Genomic DNA, 26,530 nt, shown 5'->3' with positions numbered 1-26,530 from the left:
TTACTGCAACCTTTGCCTCCTGGGTTCAAGCAATTCTCCTGCCTCAGCCTCCCAAGTAGCTGGGATTACAGGCGCCCACCACCATGCCTGGCTAATTTTTTTATTTTTAGTAGAGATGGGGTTTCACCATGTTGGCCAGGCTGGTCTCGAACTTTTGACTTTGTGATCTGCCCACCTCAGCCTCCCAGAAAGAAATAACAATTCTAAAATTGTATGCAACCAATAACGGTGCTTCAAAATACACATAGAAAAGAAGTGACAAAACAAAAACGAGGAACAGAAAAACCCACAATCCTAATTGAGAAGTTAGCATATTTCGTGGTGTAATTCACAGGACAAATAGATGATTTGTAAATCAGTAACGATATAGAAGATTAGAACAAGATTATTATAAACCTAATTTAACTTGCCATTAATAGACTACTATAACAACAAAATACACATCCTTGTAAAGTACACATGGAAGTTCACCAAAATAGACCATATAGTGGTCTCAAATAAACTACATCTCAGTAAAACACAAGAGACTTAATTTTTTTGTAGCATGTGCTCTGCTAACAAAGGAATTAAATTAGAAATAATAATAAGCTATTTAAAAATGAAAAATCCTAATGACGAGTGATGATCTTTTTTTCATATCTTTGTTGGCAGCATAAATATCTTCTTTTGAGAAGTGTCTGTTCATATCCTTTGCCCACTTTTTGATGGGGTTGTTTTTTTCTTGTAAATTTGTTTAAGTTCTTTGTAGATTCTGGATATTAACCCTTTGTCAGATGGATAGATTGCAAAAATTTTCTCCCATTCTGTAGGTTGCCTGTTCACTCTGATGATAGTTTCTTTTGCTGTGCAGAAGCTCTTTCATTTAGTTAGATCTCATTTGTCAATTTTTGCTTTTGTTGCCATTGCTTTTGGTGTTTTCATCATGAAGTCTTTGCCCATGCCTATGTCCTGAATGATATCACCTAGGTTTTCTTCTAGGGTTTTTATGGTTTTAGGTCTTACATTTAAGTCTTTAATCCATCTTGAGTTCGTTTTTTGTATGAGGTGTAAGGAAGGGGTCCAGTTTCAGTTTTCTGCATATGGCTAGCCAGTTTTCCCAACACCATTTATTAAATAGGGCATCCTTTCCCCATTGCTGGTTTTTGTCAGGTTTGTCAAAGATCAGATGGTTGTAGATGTGTGATTTTATTTTTGAGGCCTCTGTTCTGTTCCACTGGTCTATGTATCTGTTTTGGTACCAGTACCATGCTGTTTTGATTACTGTAGCCTTGAAGTATAGTTTGAAGTCAGGTAGTGTGATGCCTGCAGCTTTGTTCTTTTGCTTAGGATTGTCTTGGCTATATGGGCTCTTTTTTTTTTCCATATGAAGTTTAAGGTAGATTTTTTTTTTTTCCTAATTCTGTGAAGAAAGTTAGTGGTAGGTTGATGGGGATAGCATTGAATCTACAAATTACTTTGGGCAGTATGGCCATTTTCACACTACTGATTTTTCCTATCCATGAGCATGGAATGTTTTTCCATTTGTTTGTGTCCTTTCTTATTTTCCTTGAGCAGTGGTTTGCAGTTCTCTTTGAAGAGGTCCTTCACATCCCTTGTAAGTTGTAGTCCTAGGTATTTTATTCCCTTGTAGCAATTGTCAAAACCACAATGAGATACCATCTCACACCAGTTTGAATGGCGATCATTAAAAAGTCAGGAAACAGCTGATGCTGAAGAGAATGTGGAGAAATAGGAATGCTTTTACACTGTTGGTGGGAGTGTAAATTAGTTCAGCCATTGTGGCAGACAGTATGGCTATTCCTCAAGGATCTAGAACCAGAAATACCATTTGACCCAGCAATCCTATTACTGGGTATATACACAAAATATAAATCATTCTACTATAAAGGCACATGCACATGTATGTTTATTGCAGCACTGTTCACAATAGCTAAGACTTGGAACCAACCCGAATGCCCATCAATGATAGACGGGATAAAGAAAATGTGGCACATACACAGCATGGAATATTATGCAGCCATAAAATAGGATGAGTTTATGTCCTTTTCAGGGACATGGATGAAGCTGGAAACCATCATTGTCAGCAGAGTAACACAGGAACAGAAAACCAAACACCCCATGTTCTCACTCATAAGTGGGAGTTGAACAATGAAAACACATGGACACAGAGAGGGGAACCTCACACACTGGGGCCTGTCGGGGGGTGGTGGGCTAGGGGAGGGATAGCATTAGGAGAAATGCCTAATGTAGATGATGGGTTGATGGGTACAGCAAACTGCCATGGCACGTGTATACCTATGTAACAAACCTGCATGTTCTGCACATGTATCCCAGAACTTAAAGTATAATAAAAAATAAAAATAAAAAAAATTAAAAATTCAAAAATTGAGCATCATATTTTTATGTAACAAATTTGATTAAGGATAAAAAAAAGTTAGAAAATGTTTTTACCTGAATGATAAAAATAAAACATATCTAAATTTGTGAGATGTTCCCAGAGCATGCTAGATGGACGTTTATAGCTTTATGTGTTTATATTGGAAAAGGAACAAAAAAAAAGATGTAAAACTCAATGGTCTCATTTCCCACCTTAAAAAGGTAGAAAGAGAAGATAAAATTAAACCCAAATTAAATGAAAGAAAGGAAATATTGAAGACAAGAGCAGAAATTAATGCGAAAAAGACAAAAATGGAGAAAATTTACAAAGTCAAAAGTCACCTCTAGGATGATTAAGAAAAATAGAAACCATAAGTCAAAAATACTGAGAATGAAAAAGGATAACAAAAGGAATATGAACATTATTACTATAAATTTCATACAACTTTCATAAAGAAATAGACTAGCTGGATAACTACCCCATGAAGAATACTTAAGGTATGAATGGACTCACTGGTGCATTTTATGTGATGTTTAAGGAAGAAGTATTTCAATCTTATACAATATCTTTCAGAAAATAATAAAAGAGGGAGCATTTACAATTCGTTTTTTAAGGCCAGCATATCTCAGAGAGAAAAATCTGATAAAGTTATTTTAAAAAAATTATAAAGTAATATTACTCATGAATAGAGAAAAATATCTTCTAAAACATGAGCAAATCAAGTTCAATAATATATAAAAAGGATGATGTGTAATGACCAAGTGGGGTTGATTTCAGGAATGTAAGATTCGTTTAAATTTTATTAATATATCTATCAATGTATGTAACCACACTGATAACATAAAGGAAAGAAAGCATATGATCAACTCAACAGGTTTAAAAAGAAAGCATTTGGCAAAATACAGCAATGATTTTGTAATAATTCACAATAAAAACATAACAAACTGTAATAAAGAAAAAACTTCCTCAATTTGGTTAACAGTGTTTGCGAAAAACCTACAGAATTAATGCTTCCCCTCTAAGATCAAGCATAAGGCAAGGATGACCACTCTCAACAATTCAATATTGTGCTAGAAGTCCTAGCTTATGCAATCAGGTAAGAAAATAAATAAAAGAAATATTAAAAGATTGGAAAGGAAAAAGTAAAACTATCTTTATTTTCAGACAGTATAATTGTTTACACAAAAATCCTAATGAATCTCTAAGACAATTAATACAGTTAATAAGCAAATTTATTAAAGTTGGAGGATACAATGTCAATATACAAAACTCAATAAAATTTCTATGTACTGGCAACTATCAATAGAAAAATAAAACTAAAAAAATAAAATTTGCAATGACATCAAAAACATTTAGAAATATCTTTAACAAAAATATTATAACTTGGCCGGGCGCGGTGGCTCACGCTTGTAATCCCAGCACTTTGGGAGGCCGAGGCGGGCGGATCACGAGGTCAGGAGATCGAGACCATCCTGGCTAACACGGTGAAACCCCGTCTCTACTAAAAATACAAAAAAAATTAGCCGGGCGTGATGGTGGGCGCCTGTACTCCCAGCTACTCGGGAGGCTGAGGCAGGAGAATGGCGTGAACCCTGGAGGCGGAGCTTGCAGTGAGCCGAGATTGCGCCACTGCACTCCCGCCTGGGCCACACAGCGAGACTCCGTCTCAAAAAAAAAAAAAGAAAAAAAAATATTATAACTTTTGTATACTAAATATGGTATATAAAATATTTCTGAGAGAAATTGATAAAGCCCTAAATAAATACAGAGATATAAAGAGACATACTATGTTCTTAGGTCAGTAAACTTAGTGTAGTCAAGATGTCCATTCTCCCCAAATTGATCTCCAGATTTAACATAATCTCAAATGAAAATCTCAACAGGCTTTTTAATAGAAATTGACAAATCAATTTTAAAATCTATCTGGGAATGTAAACGACTATTAATAGCTAAAACAATCTCAAAAACAAAAAAGGTAGAGGTTTTCAACCATCTTATTTCAAGTCATACTATAAAGTTACAATAATAAAGACAGCATGGTATTTGTATAAAGATAGACAACTGGACAAATGGAACAAAATAATGTGCAGAAATGGATTTACATATATTTGGTTGGTTAGATTTTGTGCAGCATCTGAATAAGCCTATAGAAGAACTTGACAGCCCTACCTCACACCATTGACAAAAATTAATTTGAGATGTATTATAGACTTAAATGTAAAACCTGAAACTTTCTAGAGTAAAAAATAGGAGTATATCCTCTTAACTATGAGGTAGGAAAATGACTTTTTTTGAGGGAGAAGGAGGTGTTATGAAGACTAGCACCAAGTTAAATATATCTGTCTCAAGTTATTTCAATTGGTTTAGCTAAACTTTCAAATAAGTTCCTGGGATTTTGATTTTGTCATTTATGTGATTTGTGTAGTGCTTTAAAAAAAAACACACAAGGAAACATTTAAAAAGTAGAAAGAATTCCTGCTTTGCAGCCAGGAATATGTGAGTTCAAATACAGACTCCGGTTTTAGCCACTTAATAATGAGCAAGTCACTTAATCTCAGAGCTTCACAGGATTATTTTTGACATGTAAGCAAAATAATGCACATAAAGTGGCTCTCACATAAGAAACAGATAATAATTACTCAAATATTACTTCCTTTCCTCACCTTCTTTACCTGGTCCCAAATGTTTGCATCTCCAGGCTGATATACAGATATCAGCATGAATAAATTAGGCACTTAAGGGCACAGTTTCTGGAATTAAGCTCTTTGGGTTGATGTCCTATGTGGGACAAGTTTTATTTAATTTTTCTGTGCTTCAGTTTCCTTATGTGTAAAATATTGAATTAACTCACAAGGTTTTTATGAGAAATTGGACAATCCGTATAATGTGTTCAGCACAGTGGCAGAGCATATGGTCAGTGCTGAGAAGATGTTAGCTACAATTATATGACGTGAACATCTTCAGATGTTAAATAGCACCCCACCCTGATTGTGGGATAGAGAAAATATGTTCTTTGGACCTCAGAGAGCAGTTTGGGTCATGGAGATGCCTCACCTATTCAAAACCACACTTTCTGTGTTCCCAATGCCAATAGGAACCTGGAGCACATGCCTCGTAGAACCCAGAACAACAAGGTCATTTTACTTAGTCCATGTGACAGATGAATTATGATCATTTCTCATGTCCTCCCCTCGGTTCAGGATAAATTACACTTTATTCTTCCTTGTTATCTTCATGGGGTCAGTCTGTGACATAGCCTCTTAAAGTCACATGGTATTGAAACATTAAGACAAGTAACAGCTGTGAGGAATATCCACTATCAAACCAGAGGCTGGGCATTCTCAGTCTCAGTCTTCCTCCTTGACCATGCTGGGAAGGAAGACCATTTGTAGAATATTCCTTGTCTACATCTATCTGATGATGCATTTGCTAGCTTTAAAGATATAAATGTGAACAGATACCTTGTCTCTGAGTGGGGCTTTGTATAAACAAAAAGAGACTCATTGGATATCCAAAAATCAAAGCAAAATTTATTTATACCCCAGAGAGAATAAGAAAGGACTTCTAGCTCAGTAATAAGTTACAATTCTCAGCACTCTAGGCAGAAGAATGAAGACATTTCCAGTGAAGGTGGGTGTGTTGTATTCTGGCAGCCTCTGGGTCTCTTAGAATTGATAGGTTCTCCTTGTCTGTTCTGCAGAGGGTCATCCGTTCAGCCAGTAATATCCAGTAGACACAGCCATGATGGCATGACTCAGAGAGAGGGTGTGAAGATTCTTTCTTTGATGGCATGGACTTTGTAGTCATAGATTTTATGGAGAGGGGCTGAACATTCATAGATCAGTCCACAAAAGCATAAGTAACCCACTTATGCTATCTAATTATCCCTCTTAAAACCCATAATATATGCGATTCAGACCTAATGTTTGGATCTGGTAACATGCCTGAGTATAGTAGATACTCAACAATTGAGCTTTCTTTTTAACTTTGTCTGCAGGACATAATATTTCCCCAGAGAATACACTTTCTATGATTCTTACCATTCTGTTACCAGGAAGATAATTAACTGGTAAGGCCTTGAGGAAGAAGCTGGCATAAATATCATGAGGGTGTCAGTGGTCCTATAAAACAAGTTAGACACTAGGTCTTCTTAGTTAGGAGTCTTTTGGTTATAAGCAACTGAAATCAGTTTGAACTACAAGAACTTGGAAGGGGGCATTGTATTTTAAGCCTAGGGAATATTTAATGGTTCTCAAGGGTCAGGAAAGAGCTACCATCAGGCTCAAACTTGAACCTGACATGTCATCAGGATGTTCTCCATCTCTTTTCTTTGCTCCTGTCTTTGGATTTAGTCTTTCCCTCTTTCTTGCTGTAGTCTGACTGTCTTTACCAAATGACAACTGAAAATGGCCATCCATTTGTTTACTGTGATAACTGGGCAGCCTGAAGCTGGGGTCTCTTAGTGTCTATTCTATAGTCCCAGGAAAGAAATCTTAGCCTTCTCTGGGTCACATGCCGCCTGTGTTCTAATCCATCTCAGCCAGGGGCCCAATGTCATTGCCAGATGGATAGAGGGTATGAAAAAGGATAGGCCCCAGAAGATTATGTAGCCCAATTGATGGCTATTCCATCAACAATACTGGTGGTTCAGATGGTCCTCCCCTTATTTGGGAATACCATAAAGGGTTGAAAAAGGACCCAAATATTGCAAAAAAGCCTCAAGAATACACTTTCATAAGAGACTAATTAAAGATGCAATTAAGTTAAGGGACTTAGGGCTTGGCCTTGTTGCCAGGACAATTCATGCATGGTGTCAGAACATCCTGTCAATTAGTTCCATAAACTGTGCCCTCCTCTTCACCCCCATGGCCATCACCTCCTTTAAAGTTCTTATCTGCTCCTACCTCAGCTACTCGATGGCCAAACTATTTGGTCTCCCTACCTTATGGACTCCTTGTTGCCACTATAGACCATTTCCTGTAATGCTGTCATTACAGTCCTAAAATTCAAACCTGGCCAAGCTGCCTTCCTTCTTGAAAAATGTTAATGTCTCCAGTAGCCCTAAGAAGTCCATAGGCTCCATTCTGTTATTCAAGATGCCAACCAATGGTTTTGACCTCACTTCCTGTGAAGCTCTTCCTCATCATGAACATCACCTAGAAGGTATGTCCTTTATTTGTTCAACTCAGCTAGTGGGAAAGACAATGGAGTCATATCCTATCCTTGTGTTTAAGTCTCCGCTCCACCACTAACCAGCTCTGTGCGAGTGGGCAAGGCACTGACAGTTTCAGGCTTTAGTTTCCTCCTGAAAACTAAACATAAAACCCACACATAAGTTTACATGAAGAATAAAAATGAGATAATTTATATAAAGTGCTTAAAATGATATCTGGAATGCAGTAAGTGTGCAGTAAATATTACCTATCATCACCAATATCTTCATCACCATCATCACCATCACCATCAATAAGATTAATATTATGATAAAACAAGCCACCATTTTGATTTCTAGAATGCAAACTGCCTTAAATTATTGATTTTTCCATCTCACGCACTTCTCTGAAGCCAAGTGGAACACACTGTTTGAATAAATGGCCAAAAGGAAGATGGGAACTTCAAAATAAGGGGTAAAATGCTGCTTTAGTAATGAGCTCTTAACCACACCTCCTGCAGAGGCACCTAAAAGATAAGACTATGGTCTTCTTAGAAATAATGTCTTCCCCCACCCCCCGCAGAGGAGAAGGGACATTCCAGGCCTTGGCCTTGGGCTGTCCACACAGGATTCCAAAGGCAGAGGGCATGAGCCTGAGACAACTGCCACCAGGTTTCTGAAAGGGGTTTTGAGCTGTAGCCCACAACTTGGCCCCAGTGACCTGCCACTGGGGAGGGATGTGGCAACCTCGTAATTCATTACCAGTTGGAAATAGAACATCATTGAAGAGATAAGGGCAACAATAGCTTTTCTATCCAGTGATAAATTACTAACAGTTGCATTATTTTCTCTTATTTATATATGGGTCTCTTTATTGAATTTAGTGGGAGATAAATAAACGATCTGCCAAGCGTCTGGTTAATATTACTTCTCAGGGGCTCGTTTTAGGCCCAACTGGACTCCTACTGATAACATCTGTAAGCTTTTCAGGAGGGAGAGACATAACATTTGTTTCTGACAAGAACCCTCTGTTTGCCTTATCTGTTTCATTTGAGAGGCCATCGACCCCTCGCTTCTTTGGTTAAAATGAACTCTTTCCAGCCAAGGAGGAGTTCTTGAACTTGACTCTCACCACACAATGTGACTGGGCGCCCCAGCTGCAAATCTGAGGACCTCTGTCATGCACAACCAGACTTAGTACTTCCTGTTGGTGTTCAGGAGACAGTGAGAGACAGGGAGCTGAATTTCTCCCCTTAAAATACATTAAGACAAAAATTCAGCTTTCTAATCTGAATATTCCTGCCTGGCCTAAATGGAGAGTCTTTTTCTTTTAACCACAAGGTTTAAATTTTTTTTTTTTTTAATGCAAAGAGATGTTAATACACAGTGATTTAGAAATACATAAATGGTCTACAGCAATGAAGGTGAACCTTAAGCCATAATTAAAAAAAAAAATAACCCCAAGCTTCCACTAGCCTGCTGCAATAGGACTGCAAACTCAGAGATCCTCTTTATTTTTTAGATCCACCATTCTAATGCTCTGGCTCTTGAGGCCTTGTATTGAAGGCATATTTCTATACGTGTCTGAGCTGCTTCTACTCCCTCTCTGTAGGCGGTGTTAGAGGTAACAGTCTCTGGAAACCTTTCTCTGATCTTAGGTCTGTGTTTCCAAATACCCAGTTGCTCTGCCCAGGGCCCTCAGGATGTTAGCACACATCACCCAGTATTGCTGTGTTTACTTGGCTCTTTCTTATTCCAGGCAGCAAGTTCCGGGGGGACATATCATCACATTTTCTCTCTACCTTCGGAGTTCAGTAGAGAGATTGGTGTCGAGTAGGTGCTTACTCATATCTCTAGGTCACGTTTCTTTATTACAAAGTCTAATGGGACACTGTTTCTTTCCCTTGAGTGCTGGTCTCTTTTTTTTTTTTTTCTTTCTGTCTTTGGTATTTATTATTTGAGAAATTTCTGCCTCTGGTATTGTTATTATTTGAGAACTATATCTCCCCCCATCCCCCCACCAAACTGTAAGTTCTGTGAGAGCAGAAGTTGTGTCTGTATGTATACATGGTTTCCCTTAATGTCTGGCACAGTGCTTGGCACTTAGATGGCACTCAATATATGTTTACCAACTGATTGTATGAAAGGCATTTGGGGCCAAGGGCTTTGGGGTCAAGGCTTGTGTGTGTGGAGGAACGTCACAGTGCTGCATAGACCACACGTCTGAGTCAGGCCTGATTCAAAGTGCAGCTCCAATACAGCCCTTGGGTGTTGGGGAATGGCCCTTAGCTTCTCTGTGATGTGGGCCCGAGTGAGGCTCAGGAAGAGGCTCTATGCCTGGGTGACTCACAGATTGTGTGGTCTGTGCTACATAAATGAGAGAGTTGGCTGGAAAGAAGCAGTTGTGTTTTTAAGGCAACAAGGCATGTCTCTGGCCCCTTCAGTTCTGCTCATTCCTCTGATGGAGGTCTTCAGTGGACTTTCCTTGTTCTAACCATCTCTCTTTCTTGGGTCCCTCCTCATCTGGTGCTATGTGGCTCATTCATATTCTCTCTCTCTCTCACCTTTTCTGCCCTTCCTTTTTTCCTCTGGTCGAACCAGGGTCCCACTTTCCAGGTGGGATTGGAAAAACCAGGAAAATTCCTTGAAAGGGGATGGCGAGGAACATGGGAGTCTGACAACGGTTGATGTAGCAGCAGGGTCTACGTCTTCCCACCCCTTCAGCATGCTGAATTTTGTCTACACCTTTCTCCATGTGCTGCACGTAGTGCACCTTCACCGAAGTGCCTCCAGCCCTCCATGGGCCTGCTCTCTGTCTTGCTCTGAAATCCCTGAAGGTGCTCTAGCTAATGAGCTGACTTCTGGCTAAAATTCAGCTTAAGCTCTGAAATCAGTTTGAGTTACAGTCATTCTGTTCTTTATTTTGGCATTTCTGTAACCCAAACATTTGATTTGTTTAAAGAGGCAGATGTGAAAAAAATGCCTTCTCACTCTACCCACTGGCCAAGTTTTGTCAGAGAGAACAGGCTGACTTACTTGGACTCCTCAGGCCAAATATCAGCTTTAGAGAGCAGAGAAAGCTCTTCCCTGTCTGTGTCTTTCACACACATGTACATGCCCACACATGCACTCAAGGTACATAAGTCTAAAGTATTCAAAAGTAGACTTGATCTCTGTTCTCCAGGTACTAAAAATCTACCAGAAGAAACACATAATAACTATTTAGCCCCCAGAATGATTTCAGCTAAGGTTTCTCAAATGGAAGCATGTAGTTTCATTGGACTCACAGAAGGTATCCCTATGAAAGTGGTACATTAGCTGTGATCTAAAGAATGAGTAGGAATTTACTAGATAGAGAGTGGCACCCAGGCAGAGGGAACAGCATATGCAAATACCTTGTGGTTTAAGGAAGTTTTGTCCCTTGGTATAGACTCTTAGAATATCAAAGTCCATTAAAATCCTCTCGTTCAGTTCCTTTATTATACTTATGAATGAAGTAAGGCTCAGAAGGGAAAATGCCTTGTCTTAGATCCCACTGTGAATCAGAAAAATGCATCTCTAGCCTTCACTTAACTCCCCCACCAGCACCCACTGGGTTGACGGTGGAGCCCCTACTGTCAGGATGTGAAGAGAAGGCGGGTTAGGCAGGGGGGCCACTCTGCCTCTGCTCACCAGGGCCCAGAGCCACCAATCAACTGAGAAGTCCTGGTCTTTCCAAATGGAATTCTATCCAACCACAAGCTCAACTTTTTTTTTCTTATTATTTAAATTATTCCTAGATGAGTGCCAGAAGTAGAATGCTTGGGATGAAAACGATGGCATTCCATCATTGCATCATGACTAAGTGATATCACTGAATTTTGGGAAATGAGAATCAGCATCAGGCTGGAGGGAAGAACAGAGCTTACCCACCTCTACTGACCACCTAAGTCTCTGTTTTCAGCACTTCACTTGTGCATGGCTTTCAGAGGAGTAAAACTATTCTGTGTTAAGAGTTTTCTATGTGGCTTGGACTGAAGAGTCATCTGCACTTTCTCACTTGCAGACTTGCTTTTTCCTCTTCAAAAATGAGAGTGAAGGAAATGCAATCCATATTCCATGATAGAAATACAACTCAAACTAACTTAAAGAAAATAAAGGAACTTATTGTATCTCATAAGTGAGAAATCAAGGTGTTGGATAAAGGGGCCCAGTCTCTGTCAATAGGATTTTCTCCTTTCTCCTGTCTTCTATTTTTATGTGATAGCTCTGCTTTTTCATACATAATTAGAGCTTCTTTCAGGAAATCCAGGAAGATAGCCATAGACAGCTTCAGCTTCAGCCTGTGTTTTTCTTACAGTTCAGAGTTCCACAGGAGTAGGGTGCTCCTCTCCCAATGTCCATAGTTTGAACCCCAGGGCACTCTGTGTCCAGCCCTCTTTGGGTCACATGTCTACTCCCGAATGAAAGCACAGTGACCAGAAAAGTAGAATTCTCCTATTGACTTGTCTAGGGCAGGAAAGTGAGCTACTATAATTGAGCTCCACATTGATGTTTCATGAAGATGGAGCAGAAGTTGAGGAAAAATTGGTTCCCCAAAGGAAATGTACAGTCCTCTTATTGGAATAAGGAGAAAGAGGGTTGAAAAGAATACATGTAATCCAGAACCTCATATTCTCCATTTTTTCATAGCATTAAGATGCTCTTGGTGACCCAAGTTAGATTCATTGAGTCACTTTCAAGTCGCTGGCTCATCACCTACACATTTTATTTTGTTCATTCTAACTTCAGAATCTCTCCGTTCGCCCTGACTGCTGGATCCGCTTTCATTTCCAGGTAGATGTGGCTCTCAGAGTGTCGAGGCTGTGGGCAGGTTCCTACTTCTTCCTTCAGTGGATATTTGTTGATGACTTCTCATATCAGGTGTTGGGTATACAGAAGTTAATAAATCTGACAAGGAACCTGCTTGGGGGAGCTTGCATTCTAGCATAGGAGGCAGGTGTGAAATAAATATGTGGGCAAATACACAGACACTTGGCATTATAGGTGATGGCAAATGTGATAGAGGAAAAGGAGAGGGTAAAACCAGCTATTTATAACTACTGATATATACAAATAGATGAATCCCACAGACATAACATTGAGTGAAGGAAGCCAAACGTGAAAGAATGCTTACTGTATGATACTATTAATATGAAGTTCAAAAACAGCCAAAACTGCTCTATAGCGATAGAGGTCAATATAGTGGCTTCATTTAGGACAGGTATAAGCTGGGAAGAGGAATGAGGATCTGAGATACTGGAAATTTTCTATATTTTTATGTGAGTAGTGGTTTCATTTGCATAGATAGATAGATTAGATAGACAGCATCTACCCACTGTTTAATAGCACCATGGAGTCAAGCATCCATACCTACATTTGAAAAGATGGCACCCCAGGGAAAGCCAGTGGTATACTGAACCAGGTTCTACTCTACCACATTGGACAACAATGGTATTACTGCATGATCTGAGCCTGTTTCCACATCTACCTGCCTCATACTCTCCCCCTTGTTTCTTCTAACCCAGATCACGAGCATTTTTGCTTTTCTTAAGGAAAGTCCAGTTTATTTCCACCTCACTGTTCCTTCTTGTAACATCCTTTTTTTTCTGATCTGTGTATGATTCTCTCTGATGATACTTTCAGATCTCAAGTAGTTGATCTTCAGAGTGATCTTCCTTGACATCCTCTAAAAGTTACATCCCCTTACTCCCAATTCTAGCATCCTACCTAAGGCGATGTTATTTATTTATTTATGTTATTTGTTTAACTCTGCTTGATTGCAAGTCCCATGAAGGCAGATATTTCGTTTAATTTGATTTTATCCCCAGAGATCAGGAGATTTGCTAAGCAATAGTAGAGACTTTACATATATTTGTAAACTGGATTAATGAAGGAAAGTATTTAAACCAATGTGTAACACGGTTATAGTTACATTTACAAAAAAATGAATATATCTCATTTTTGTTGGAAGTAATTGTGAATATTTATACCATTATTAATCTACAGCAGTCTACCCTCTGGCCAAAGTGATTTCCATTTATCCCATAAGCAAATTACACCCAACTCCTTTAAAAACTTATCAAACGTCATGCAATTACAACATTGGACTCAAAGTCAAGCATCTTATGTTCTGCATCTTGTCCAGTGACAGATGAGGCATTTGGGGCATGGCTCCCTGACTGAGGGTTTTCCTGAACCAGAGAAATGTGACTGAAATGACTAGCTGTGTGCTTACCTCACACCTAATATGTAATGATGAGGCCGGCACATCTGATAAGAGAAACAGATATCACTGTTCAAAATGGGGAGGATAATGGAAGCACATAGCAGGCACCGTTAGGTAGTGATTCTGAAATCCAGCCAGGCACCTGCTCCCAGCTTTTCCTACTCTAGGGTTGGATAATTATTTTTGAGTAGGATCTCTTTATACTTTCATTTCTTTTTTTTTAATTATATATTTTAGAGACAGAATCTTGTTATGTTGCCCAAGTTGGTCTTGAACTCCTGGTCTCAAGGGATCATCTTGCCTCAGCCTCCTGAGTAGCTGGGTCTGTAGATGCAAGCCACCATGCCAGCTCTTTATACATTCTAGGAGTGGTTCATGGTCCATTGTTCCCCTTTAATTCTGGGCTCTTACCTATATCCTCTGAAAAGTTTTTATTTTTGTCTTAATAAATATCCTACTGCAGCTTAGTAGCTTTCTCAGCATACCTTTGTTCTGTAGGAGGAACCAAAATCCTCTTTATATCCTCTACTATCTTAATCTTTTTTAGTCCAAGCTGCCAATGTTGTCACTAATCTAATGTGTTTAAAATTTCCTAAAACTTGATTTGGTTTACTCCAAACATCAAAAATCACATCCCTAATTCTTTTTGATATAAACTGTATCTGTTTTGGGCTAAATATGGGCCTACTGTGTGATAGAACCTTAAATTCTTAAAATACTTTTTTTTTTTTTTGTAGTAGAGCAGATCAAAATTTACAAACTTAATCTTTCAAAGGTCTTAACTCAGAATCTTACAGTCACAAGTTTGACTTGATCTTGGATCCAGGGCTTATTTCCTGAAATATAGAGATGTTTTCACCAGTTGTGGAGACTGGGAATGAATGGCATCTTTATTTGTTTAATGCAGTAAGTCCTTGGTCTTCTGTATTTTCTTCTAATTCTGCTTGAAAACTAAATAGTTCCTTTCTTCCCCTTTTTTTTCTTTTACCTTGTCAGACACTGCTAGCAAAATCAATTGGTCGTTTCAAATTTCTGTTTTGTGATTCCTTTAGCCAGATCTATGAGTTCATTAGGTATAATTTCTATCTTTCAAGTTACTGCACATGACACTTTCGCTAATATTTCTATCACAATATAACATAGTTACCCTTCTCTTAGCCTCCGACAGTCCCTTCACTTTTCCCCAAGCCTCTGCTTACTAAGGGGTTCCAAAGCCAATGCCACATGTTTTAAATTTTGTTGTGGGTACATTTCACTTCTGGTACCAATTTCTGTTTCAGTTACTTATATCTGCATAGCAAATGACACAAAACTTTATGGTTGAAAACAATAAGTTAGTGTATTTTTTAAGAGTCTCTGTGTTGGCTTGGCTCAGCTGGGTGGTTCTTCTGCTGCTGTGATCTGGGATTAGTTATGTGGGTGCAGTCACCCAGCAGCATGTCAGGGGCTGGAGGGTCTCAGATGGTTCTAATCACAAGTCTGAGTCATTGGAGGTGACTGTCAAACTGTTGGCTGGGTTTTTCTCTTCATGCTGTTTCTTATTGTTCAGTTGGCTATCTCTGGCTTTCATATATTGTGGCTGGAGCATTTGATGAGAGCAAAACCAGAAACTGCAAGGCCTTTATTTTCCCAGATTGCTTTACCAATGGCCTATCATTAAAAGCCACACAGTGTTACTTATGCCACACTCAAAGCATGTTCACAAAGCCAGTCCAGATTCAGGGGTAGGAAAATAGTCTCTAATTCTTGATGGAAGGGGCAACAAAGTCACATTGCAAAGGATTATGGACAAAAGGAGATGTGATTCATTGAGAGCTCTTAGTATACTTCACCACACTAGCTTAAATGGGAGGAACAGATTATAATGTCAGAGTAGAAGCAAAGAAACCGGAGAGTACATCGCTTATTTTTGATGCAGGAGATATTCATGCTTGAGCCTAGATAAAGAAATGGATAGATTAAAAGTATTTATATCTAAATATCTTCAATGTCTATCTTCTTCAATTCTTATTTCCCATAACTAGCAACATTATTCTGTTAAAATCAAACTGGGAGCATGATATGTCTTTAACCCTGTCAAGAAACCTTGAATGAGTTTCTTTTTTTTTTTTTGTAGGTTAAAAAAATTTAATATTTTTGAGAATAAGAAGATAATTCAATCTGCTACATCTTACACATTATCACAGGCATGAAGGTGTTGTAGAAATACTTGTACTAATCCTGGAAATGTCCCTGACTCTGTTTTAAAATTTTATTTTATTATACTTTAAGTTTTAGTGTACATGTGCACAACGTGCAGGTTTGTTACATATGTATACATGTGCCATGTTGGTGTGCTGCACCCATTAACTTGTCATTTAGCATTAGGTATATCTCCTAATGCTGTCCCTCCCTCCTCCCCCCACCCCACAACAGGCCCCGGTGTGTGATGTTCCCCTTCCTGTGTCCATGTGTTCTCATTGTTCAATTCCCACCTATGAGCAAGAACATGTGGTGTTTGGTTTTTTGTCTTTGCAATAGTTTGTTGAGAATGATGGTTTCCAGCTTCATCCATGTCCCTACAAAGGACACGAACTCATCATTTTTTATGGCTGTATAGTATTCTGTGGTGTATATGTGCCACATTTTCTTAATCCAGTCTATCATTGTTGGACATTTAGGTTGGTTCCAAGTCTTTGCTATTGTGAATAGTGCCACTATAAACATACATGTGCATGTGTCTTTATAGCAGCATGATTTATAATCCTTGGGATATATACCCAGTAATGGGATGGCTGGGTCAAATGGTATTTCTAGTTCTAGATCCCTAAGGAATCGCCACACTGACTTCCACAATGGTTGAACTAGTTTACAGTCCCACCAACAGTGTAAAAGTGTTCCTATTTCTCCACATCCTCTTCAGCACCTGTTGTTTCCTGACTTTTAAATGATCGCCATTCAAACTGGTGTGAGATGGTATCTCATTGTGGTTTTGATTTGCTTTTCTCTGATGGCCAGTGATGATGAGCATTTTTTCATGTGTCTTTTGGCTGCATAAATGTCTTCTTTTGAGAAGTGTCTGTTGATATCCTTCACCCACTTTGTGATGGGGTTGTTTGTTTTTTTCTTGTAAATTTGTTGGTGTTAATTGTAGATTCTGGATATTAGCCCTTTGTCAGGTGAGTAGGTTGCAAAAATTTTCTCCTATTCCGTAGGTTGCCTGTTCACTCTGATGGTAGTTTCTTTTGCTGTGCAGAAGCTCTTTAGTTTAATTATATCCCATTTGTCAATTTTGTCTTTTGTTGCCATTGCTTTTGGTGTTTTAGACATGAAGTCCTTGCCCATGCCTATGTCCTGAATGGTATTGCCTAGGTTTTCTTCTAGGGTTTTTATGGTTTTAGGTCTAAAATTTAAGTCTTTAATCCATCTTGAATTAATTTTTGTATAAGGTGTAAGGAAGGGATCCAGTTTCAGCTTTCTACATATGACTAGCCAGTTTTCCCAGCACCATTTATTAAATAGGGAATCCTTTCCCCATTGCTTGTTTTTCTCAGGTTTGTCAAAGATCAGATAGTTGTAGATATGCGGCATTATTTCTGAGGGCTCTGTTCTGTTCCATTTGTCTATATCTCTGTTTTGGTACCAGTACCATGCTGTTTTGGTTACTGTAACCTTGTAGTATAGTTTGAAGTCAGGTAGCGTGATGCCTCCAGCTTTGTTCTTTCAGCTTAGGATTGACTTGGCGATGAGGGCTCTTTTTTGGTTCCATATGTACTTTAAAGTAGTTTTTTCCAATTCTGTGAAGAAAATCATTGGAAGCTTGATGGGGATGGCATTGAATCTATAAATTACCTTGGGCAGTATGGCCATTTTCACGATATTGATTCTTCCTACCCATGAGCATGGAATGTTCTTCCATTTGTTTGTATCTTCTTTTATTTCATTGAGCAGTGGTTTGTAGTTCTCCTTGAAGAGGTCCTTCACATCCCTTGTAAGTTGGATTCCTAGGTATTTTATTCTCTTTGAAGCAATTGTGAATGGGAATTCACTCATGATTTGGCTCTCTGTTTGTCTGTTATTGGTGTATAAGAATGCTTGTGATTTTTGCACATGGATTTTTTATCCTGAGACTTTGCTGTAGTTGCTTATCAGCTTGAGGAGACTTTGGGCTGAGATGATGGGGTTTTCTAGATATACAATCATGTCATCTGCAAACAGGGACAATTTGACTTCCTCTTTTCCTAATTGAATACCCTTTATTTCCTTCTCCTGCCTGATTGGCCTGGCCAGAACTTCCAACACTATGTTGAATAGGAGTGGTGAGAGAGGGCATCCCTGTCTTGTGCCCGTTTTCAAAGGGAGTGCTTCCAGTTTTTGCCCATTCAGTATGATATTGGCTGTGGGTTTGTCATAGGTAGCTCTTATTATTTTGAGATACGTCCCATCAATAACTAATTTATTGAGAGTTTTTAGCATGAAGGGTTGTTGAATTTTGTCAAAGGCCTTTTCTGCATCTATTGAGATAATCATGTGGTTTTTGTCTTTGGCTGTGTTTATATGCTGGATTACATTTATTGATTTGCATATGTTGAACCAGCCTTGCTTCCCAGGGATGAAGCCCACTTGATCATGGTGGAAAAGCTTTTTGATATGCTGCTGGATTTGGTTTGCCAGTATTTTATTGAGGATTTTTGCATCAATGTTCATCAAGGATATTGGTCTAAAATTCTCCTTTTTGGTTGTGTCTCTGCCAGGCTTTGGTATCAGGATGATGACCTCATAAAATGAGTTAGGCAGGATTCCCTCTTTTTCTATTGATTGGAATAGTTTCAGAAGGAATGGTACCACCTCCTCTTTGCACCTCTGGTAGAACTCGGCTGTGAATCCATCTGGTCCTGGACTTTTTTTGGTTAGTAAGCTGTTGATTATTGCCTCAATTTCAGAGCCTGTTATGGGTCTATTCAGAGATTTAACTTCTTCCTGGTTTAGTCTTGGGAGGATGTATGTGTCGAGGAATTCATCCATTTCTTCTACATTTTCTAGTTTATTTGCATAGAGGTGTTTATAGTATTCTAGATGGTAGTTTGTATTTCTGTGGGATCGGTGGTGATATCCCCTTTATCATTTTTTATTGTGTCTGTTTGATTCTTCTCTCTTTTCTTCTTTATTAGTCTTGCTAGTGGTCTATCAATTTTGTTGATCTTTTCAAAAAACCAGCTCTTGGATTCATTAATTTTTTGAAGGGTTTTTTGTGTCTCTATCTTCTTCAGTTCTGCTCTGATCTTAGTCATTTCTTACCTTCTGCTAGGTTTTGAATGTGTTTGCTCTTGCTTCTCTAGTTCTTTTAATTGTGATGTTAGGGTGTCAATTTTAGATCTTTCCTGCTTTCTCTTGTGGGCATTTAGTGCTATAAATTTCCCTCTACACACTGCTTTGAATGTGTCCCAGAGATTCTGGTATGTTGTGTTTGTTCTTGTTGGTTTCAAAGAACATTTTTATTTCTGCCTTCATTTCGTTAGATACCCAGTAGTCATTCAGGAGCGGGTTGTTCAGTTTCCATGTAGTTGTGCGGTTTTGAGTGAGTTTCTTAATCCTGAGTTCTAGTTTGATTGCACTGTCGTCTGAGAGACAGTTTGTTATAATTTCTGTTGTTTTACATTTGCTGAGCAGTGCTTTACTTCCAACTATGTGGTCAATTTTGGAGTAGGTGTGGTGAGGTGCTGAAAAGAATGTATATTCTGTTGATTAGGGGTGGAGAGTTCTGTAGATGTCTATTAGGTCCACTTTGTGCAGAGCTGAGTTCAATTCCTGGATATCCTTGTTAACTTTCTGTCTCATTGATCTGTCTAATGTTGACAATGGGGTGTTAAAGTCTCCCATTATTATTGTGTGGGAGGCTAAGTCTCTTTGTAGGTCACTCAGGACTTGCTTTATGAATCTGGGTGCTCCTGTATTGGGTGCATATATATTTAGGATAGTTAGCTCTTCTTGTTGAATTGATCCCTTTACCATTCTGTAATGGCCTTCTTTGTCTCTTTTGATCTTTGTTCGTTTAAAGTCTGTTTTATCAGAGACTAGGATTGCAACCCCTGCCTTTTTTTGTTTTCCATTTGCTTGGTAGATCTTCCTCCATCCCTTTATTTTGAGCCTATGTGTGTCTCTGCACGTGAGATGGGTTTCCTGGATACAGCACACTGATGGGTCTTGACTCTTTATCCAATTTGCCAGTGTGTGTCTTTTAATAGGAGCATTTAGCCCATTTACATTTAAAGTTAATATTGTTATGTGTGAATTTGATCCTGTCATTATGATGTTAGCTGGTTATTTTGCTCATTAGTTGATGCAGTTTCTTCCTAGCCTTGATGGTCCTTACATTTTGGCATGTTTTTGCAGTGGCTGGTACCAGTTGTTCCTTTCCATGTTTAGTGCTTCCTTCAGGAGCTCTTTTAGGGCAGGCCTGGTGGTGACAAAATCTCTCAGCATTTGCTTGTCTGTAAAGGATTTTATTTCTCCTTCACTTATGAAGCTTAGTTTGGCTAGATATGAAATTCTGGGTTGAAAATTCTTTTCTTTAAGAATGTTGAGTATTGGCGCCCACTCTCTTCTGGCTTGTAGAGTTTCTGCCGAGAGATCAGCTGTTAGTCTGATGGGCTTCCCTTTGTGGATAACCCGACCTTTCTCTCTGGCTGCCCTTAACATTTTTTCCTTCATTTCAACTTTGGTGAATCTGAGAATTATGTGTCTTGGCGTTGCTCTTCTCGAGGAGTATCTTTGTGGCATTCTCTGTATTTCCTGAATTTGAATGTTGGCCTGCCTTGCTAGATTGGGGAAGTTCTCCTGGATAATATCCTGCTGAGTGTTTTCCAACTTGGTTCCATTCTCCTCGTCACTTTCAGGTACGCCAATCAGACGTAGATTTGGTCTTTTCACATTGTACCATATTTCTTGGAGGCTTTGTTCATTTCTTTTTATTCTTTTTTTCTGTAAACTTCTCTTCTCATTTCATTTCATTCATTTTGTCTTCCATCACTTATACCCTTTCTTCCAGTTGATCGCATCGGCTACTGAGGCTTCTGAATTTGTCACGTAGTTCTCGTGCATTGGTTTTCAGCTCCATCAGGTCCTTTAAGGACTTCTCTCCATTGGGTATTCTAGTTATCCATTTTTCTAATTTTTTTTCAAAGCTTTTAACTTCTTTGCCATTGGTTCGAATTTCCTGCTGTAGCTCGGAGCAGTTTGATTGTCTGAAGGCTTCTTCTCTCAGCTCATCAAAGTCATTCTCCGTCCAGCATTGTTCCATTGCTGGTGAGGAGCTGCGTTCCTTTGGAGGAGGAGAGATGCTCTGATTTTTAGTTTCCAGTTTTTCTGCTCTGTTTTTTCCCCATCTTTGTGGTTTTATCTACCTTTGGTCTTTGATGATGGTGACGTACAGATGCATTTTTGGCATGGATGTCCTTTCTGTTTGTTAGTTTTCCTTCTAACAGACAGAACCCTCAGCTGCAAGTCTGTTGGAGTTTGCTAGAGGTCCACTCCAGACCCTGTTTGCCTGGGTACCAGCAGCGGTGGCTGCAGAACAGTGGATATTGGTGAACTGCAAATGCTGCTGCCTGATTGTTCCTCTGAAAGTTTTGTCTCAGAGGAGTACCCGGCCGTGTGAGGTGTCAGTCCGCCCCTACTGGGGGGTGCCTCCCAGTTAGGCTACTCGGGGGTCAGGGACCCACTTGAGGAGGCTGTCTGCCCGTTCTCAGATCTCCAGCTGTGTGCTGGGAAAACCACTACTCTCTTCAAAGCTGTCAGAGAGGGACATTTAAGTCTGCAGAGGTTACTGCTGTCTTTTTGTTTGTCTGTGCCCTGCCCCCAGAGGTGGAGCCTACAGAGGCAGGCAGGCCTCCTTGAGCTGTGGTGGGCTCCACCCAGTTTGCGCTTCCTGGCTGCTTTGTTTCCCTAATCAAACAACTAACTCGGCATTGGTGGGTGCCCCTCCCCCAGCCTCACTGCCTCCTTGCAGTTTGATCTTAGACTGCTGTGCTAGCAATGAGCAAGACTCCTTGGGTCTAGGTCCCTCCAAGCCATGTGTGGTATATAATCTCCTGGTGTGCCGTTTTTTAAGCTGGTTGGAAAAGTGCAGTATTAGGGTGGGAGTGACCCGATTTTCCAGGTGCCATCTGTCACCCCTTTCTTTGACTAGGAAAGGGAATTCCCTGATCCCTTGCACTTCCCAGGCGAGGCGATGCCTCGCCCTGCTTTGGCTTGTGCACGGTGTGCTGCCCCCACTGTCCTGCACCTACTGTCTGACACTCCCCAGTGAGATGAACCCGGTACCTCAGTTGGAAATGCAGAAATCACCTGTCTTCTGGTTGCTTATGCTGGGAACTATAGACTGGAGCTGTTTCTATTCGGCCATCTTCCCTTGAATGAGTTTCTAATTCTTCAGGTTAAATTTTTTATGCCTCATTTTGAAATTTAATTCTCTGGATATAATGTGCCTTTAGCTCACCTTTCCCTTTGAATCCTACTAATAGAGTCACTCCAGACCGTTCTTTTGTGAGTCAGGGAACATAGAACACTCCTTATTTCTCCATCTTTCTTTACCTCTGTTTATACTATTCTGTGGACTAGCATACTGTATTAGTCCATTTTCATACTGTTATGAAGAAATACCCAAGACTGGGTAATTTATAAAGAAAAAGAGGTTTAATAGACTTACACTTCCACATGGCTGGGGAGGCCTCATAATCTTGGTGGAAGGCAAAGGAGGAGCAAAGACACATCTTAACTGGTGGCAGGCACGAGAGCATGTGCAGGGGAACTGCCCTTGTGTAAAACCATCAGATCTCATGAGACTTATTCACTATCCTGAGAACAGCACTGGAAAGACTGGCCCCCATGATTTAATTACCTCCCACAGAGTCCCTCTCATGACATGTGTGGGTTATGGGACCTACAGTTCAAGATGAGATTTGGGTGGGGACAGAGCCAAACCATATCACATACACTCCTTGGAATTTTGAAGCCATGATCATGTTTTAATGCCCACTCAATCACCTCCTTTAGAAGATTTTCCCAGAGCACCGCAGTTAAATCACCCCTTTAAATTTCAGGGCTGATAAACTAAACACCATTTAGTTTCTTATAGCCTGAGTAGTTTCCACATCTATATACAGTATTATCTTAGTCAGTTCAGGCTGCTATAACAAAATACCACAGACTGATGCCTTAAACAAGATTTTTTTTTTCTCTCTCACAGTTCTGGGGGCTGGAAATTCAACATCAAGGCACAAGCAGATCAGCAGATTCAGTGTCTGGTGAGGGCCTTCTTCATGGCTTGTAGATGGCTGGCTGGCTTTCCTTTTTGCTATATCTTTGATGGCAGAGAAAGCGAGAGAGAGAGAGAGAGAGAGAGAGAGAGAGAGAGAGAAGGGGGTGAGATCATCTCTCTAATTCCCAAAGCTCCCACTCCTTCACTTTGGTGTTATAGGCTTTAACATGTGAGTTTTGAGGATACGGAAACATTCAGTCCATGAAAATTATTTCAACTAGAGAATGAGTTTCTTGAGGACAGTTTCTTGTTTCCACTCTATACTTCTTAGCTCAGAGTCTGGGACACAGTGAATGCTAATGTATCTATGGGAAATGAATTTTAATAGGTTTCCCATAGATATGCTTTTCCCCTTTTATTGCCAGTTCCTTTGAAAGAACTACTTATTATGGAAAATTTCAAAGTACACAAAAGTTGTGAGAATAGTTTGATGAACCATGTATTCATCATCCATTTTTGAAAATCTTGGCTATCCTTTTAAAGGCAAAACTCCTCTTCTGCAGACAAAGCCTTTGGCAGTGAGGGGCATGAAGACACCATTCTGTAGTCCTCAATTAATTCAAATCAATTTGGGCACAGTTTTCTCCCCCAGAATAACATCAATAGAACTCCCAGTGAAAGAACGTCTTCCTAAGGCAATTCTGAAGACAAAAAAGCAACATAAGAACACACTTCCCAATAATGTGAAGATCTATGACTGTACTAAATAAAAATGTTCCCTTAATGTACTGTAAAAAATAAAGATGTTTGGCTAGATTTATCAACCTGCTCCAGGAGCAGAATTAAGTTTCCATGCTACATTTTTTCTACTTATTTAAAAACACCTGAGTTGTTATATAGCTAGTCAGACAACCGCTTCATTATATAAATATAATACATGTCTGCTCTGAAGATGTACTGTTTAAAGAAAGCTTCTCTTTTCCCAGGCCTGTTGGATAACTTGTAAATAATGATTTCTAAGGACACAGATGTGGGTGAAAATTGTTCCAAGTTAAAACTGGTTATCCATTGGTAAAGATTTTTTTAATAGATTAATAAGACTTTAAAGAGATTTAATGTACTAGAGATCGTGACTAGATTCCTACAAAATGAAATTAAAGCCAGTTCTTAAAATTTGCAGTTACACAGCTTGGAAATACAATGGCAAAGCAAATTGGGAAAATAAATCTTTATTCTCAATGGAATGGGTCCCCCCAGGAGATTCATAGTCAGTGGTAACCAGTGTTATGTACATATTGACATGTCATTATACCATTCTCTCATTTTAGAATCACATGAAGTTCATGGACTAGAATTCCAAGAAACAGTGTGTGAGGAAGTATTTTCTTCATGTCTTTGCTCCTAACATGAACTGTTCACTAGTACTGCCTGTAGCTTCTAACCCAGACAATTCACAGGCCATGAAATGATTGAAAACAATCCAAAACGGACTACTAAAACAGTGACCTGGTGGCTGCCAACCCCCTGGAGGGAGAAGATGAGTGAACAAGGGGCAAAGTTGAAGGAGGCTCATGAGAAGCTACATATTGTGAGGGCAAAGATAAGAATGCATGTGGTTTTATCACTTCTTAGAGCCAACTATAAATTCCATTTATGATGGATCCAGGAGACCTGGAATAAAATAAACTTAGGAGGATCTGACTTCTTCGCCACAAACCTTCCACAAACCTGGATTGGTGAAGTATTAATTTGTTGGATTTTAAAATTTTATCCTCTCTTTCAGTGTGATCCAAAGAGAGAACTGGAATATCACATTTCACTGGGAAAATCACTCCAATATTACTTTAGCAGTTCTGCCTCAACCAGTCATACTGCTTATGGACATAGCATGGTATAAATTGCTCATGAGCCTTCATCAACAAGTAATTGGTTTACTTAAGTCTAAGTAATCTATGGTAACTCTCTGCTGGCCCTCTCTCCAAGTTCTCAATCCCACTGGATGAAGGCTGACATACTCAGGTAATGAACTACTCCTTCTCTTGTCTTCCAGCCATAGCAAACACCACTGCTTCCAATTAAAATCTACATGATTTATGAAAACCCCCAAGCTTATCTGCCTTAATTCTTCCCTGTCCTGTGACAGAATCCTATTAAATTTCTTTCTTAAAATCTAGTGCTTCATACTCTGAAATGCCACGGGTAGTTATGCAGCAAGACAGTTAGAAAAAAGAGCAGGTCATAGAAAGTCTGAAAAATAGTAATAGCTACCTACTGATGATTGGGCAGGACCACAGACCTAAGTATGCACTGGGCACTTTAGGTAAGGAGTTTGTTCATTATCTCATTAAATGTATATAACTCTTAGGAGAATACTCTCTATACTTTGTACATTTGGTACCGAGACATAGAGGAACATAACTTCTAAGGTCACATAGTGGTGGCAAAGCTAGGACAAGAAAGGTATCTGGCATGTAATTGACGGATAATCATGTTACTCATGATCACTGTTACTCATGAAGTCTGGATACTTCTAGGGGTCTGCAGAAGTATTACTGGGGTTTCTAAAATCCTACTTAGTATTTCAAACACAAATCACTTAAGAACTTACCTACAAAAAAGCAGCACAGTCCAACAAAACATAACATGCTAATTTTTTTTGTTTGGATGGGAGTTTTATTAACTCAGAGCGGTAGTCTTGGTTATTAATGCTGATCAGAGTACCAGTCAGAAAAAGGAAGTCTTTACTTCATAAATGCAGTTTGATCTTCAAACAAGCAAGCAAACAAACAGAAGTTTAGAACTTGAATTTATTCAAATGATCTACAAAATAACAAGAAAACAACAAATGTCACTAGTAAGTCTTTACCTATCAGTAATTACCTTTAATGTAAATGGGTTAAACTCTCTAGTCAAAAGACAGAGTGGCCAAATGGATGTTTTTTTTAAAAAAGGACCTAACTATATGCTGCCTACAAGAGACTCACTTCACCTCTAGGGACACACACAGACTGAAAGAGAAGGGATGGAAAAATATATTCTATGTAAAGGGAAAATGAAAGAGAGCAGTAGTAGCCATGCTTACATCAGAAATGATAGAATATGGGTTCATTGAGTAAAATAATAACAGGTTTTATAGTGAGGAGAACATTGCTTCAAAGAGATAGGATAGGTATATGCATAAAAACAAAGGACATATTCCAGAGACACATGCAAACATATCTATATGAATGATTTGGCCTACATGCTGCCTTTTTTTTGTATCTCCCCAGAATTCTGGATAAATACCCAGATGAAGTGAGTAGGATTGAGTAACAAAGCCTTTTACTTTGTTACTATATTGAGGAACAATGCTTGAATATTAACAGATCTAATAGTTATTATTTTTTTGTAATCATCTGAAGACCATGGGTTTTAGGCTGGACCTCAGTAAAGAATAGGAATTGCATTGAAAGAATGGAGCAAATACGTATTTCCATTCAGAGGAGCATATACATATTACAACGACAATCATCATAC

The 26,530-nt window shown here is 39.1% G+C and overlaps 1 long non-coding RNA gene across 1 annotated transcript in view, besides 2 other annotated features; it reads left to right on the top strand.

Annotated features, from left to right (window-relative positions):
- DYNLRB2-AS1 (DYNLRB2 antisense RNA 1) overlaps positions 1-26,530 on the top strand; it is a 407,178-nt gene that overhangs the window by 321,267 nt on the left and 59,381 nt on the right. The gene's annotated exons all lie outside the window — the stretch shown is intronic.
- Positions 9,758-9,807: a silencer, noted in NCBI's record as "silent region_7740". NCBI's record gives its function as "represses an Ori minimal core promoter by ATAC-STARR-seq in GM12878 lymphoblastoid cells {active_cell/tissue: GM12878}" and the evidence as "EXISTENCE:reporter gene assay evidence [ECO:0000049][PMID:35858748]".
- Positions 20,437-20,679: a silencer, noted in NCBI's record as "fragment chr16:80255087-80255329 (GRCh37/hg19 assembly coordinates)". NCBI's record gives its function as "represses an EF-1alpha promoter that drives an FKBP-Casp9 reporter gene in an ReSE screen in K562 erythroleukemia cells {active_cell/tissue: K562}" and the evidence as "EXISTENCE:reporter gene assay evidence [ECO:0000049][PMID:32094911]".

This window comes from Homo sapiens, chromosome 16 (genome assembly GCF_000001405.40).
Source record: "Homo sapiens chromosome 16, GRCh38.p14 Primary Assembly".
Classification (NCBI taxonomy): Eukaryota; Metazoa; Chordata; class Mammalia; order Primates; family Hominidae; genus Homo; species Homo sapiens.
The sequence above is the reverse complement of the archived record's forward strand: the minus strand, read 5'-3'. Positions and strand labels throughout refer to the sequence as shown.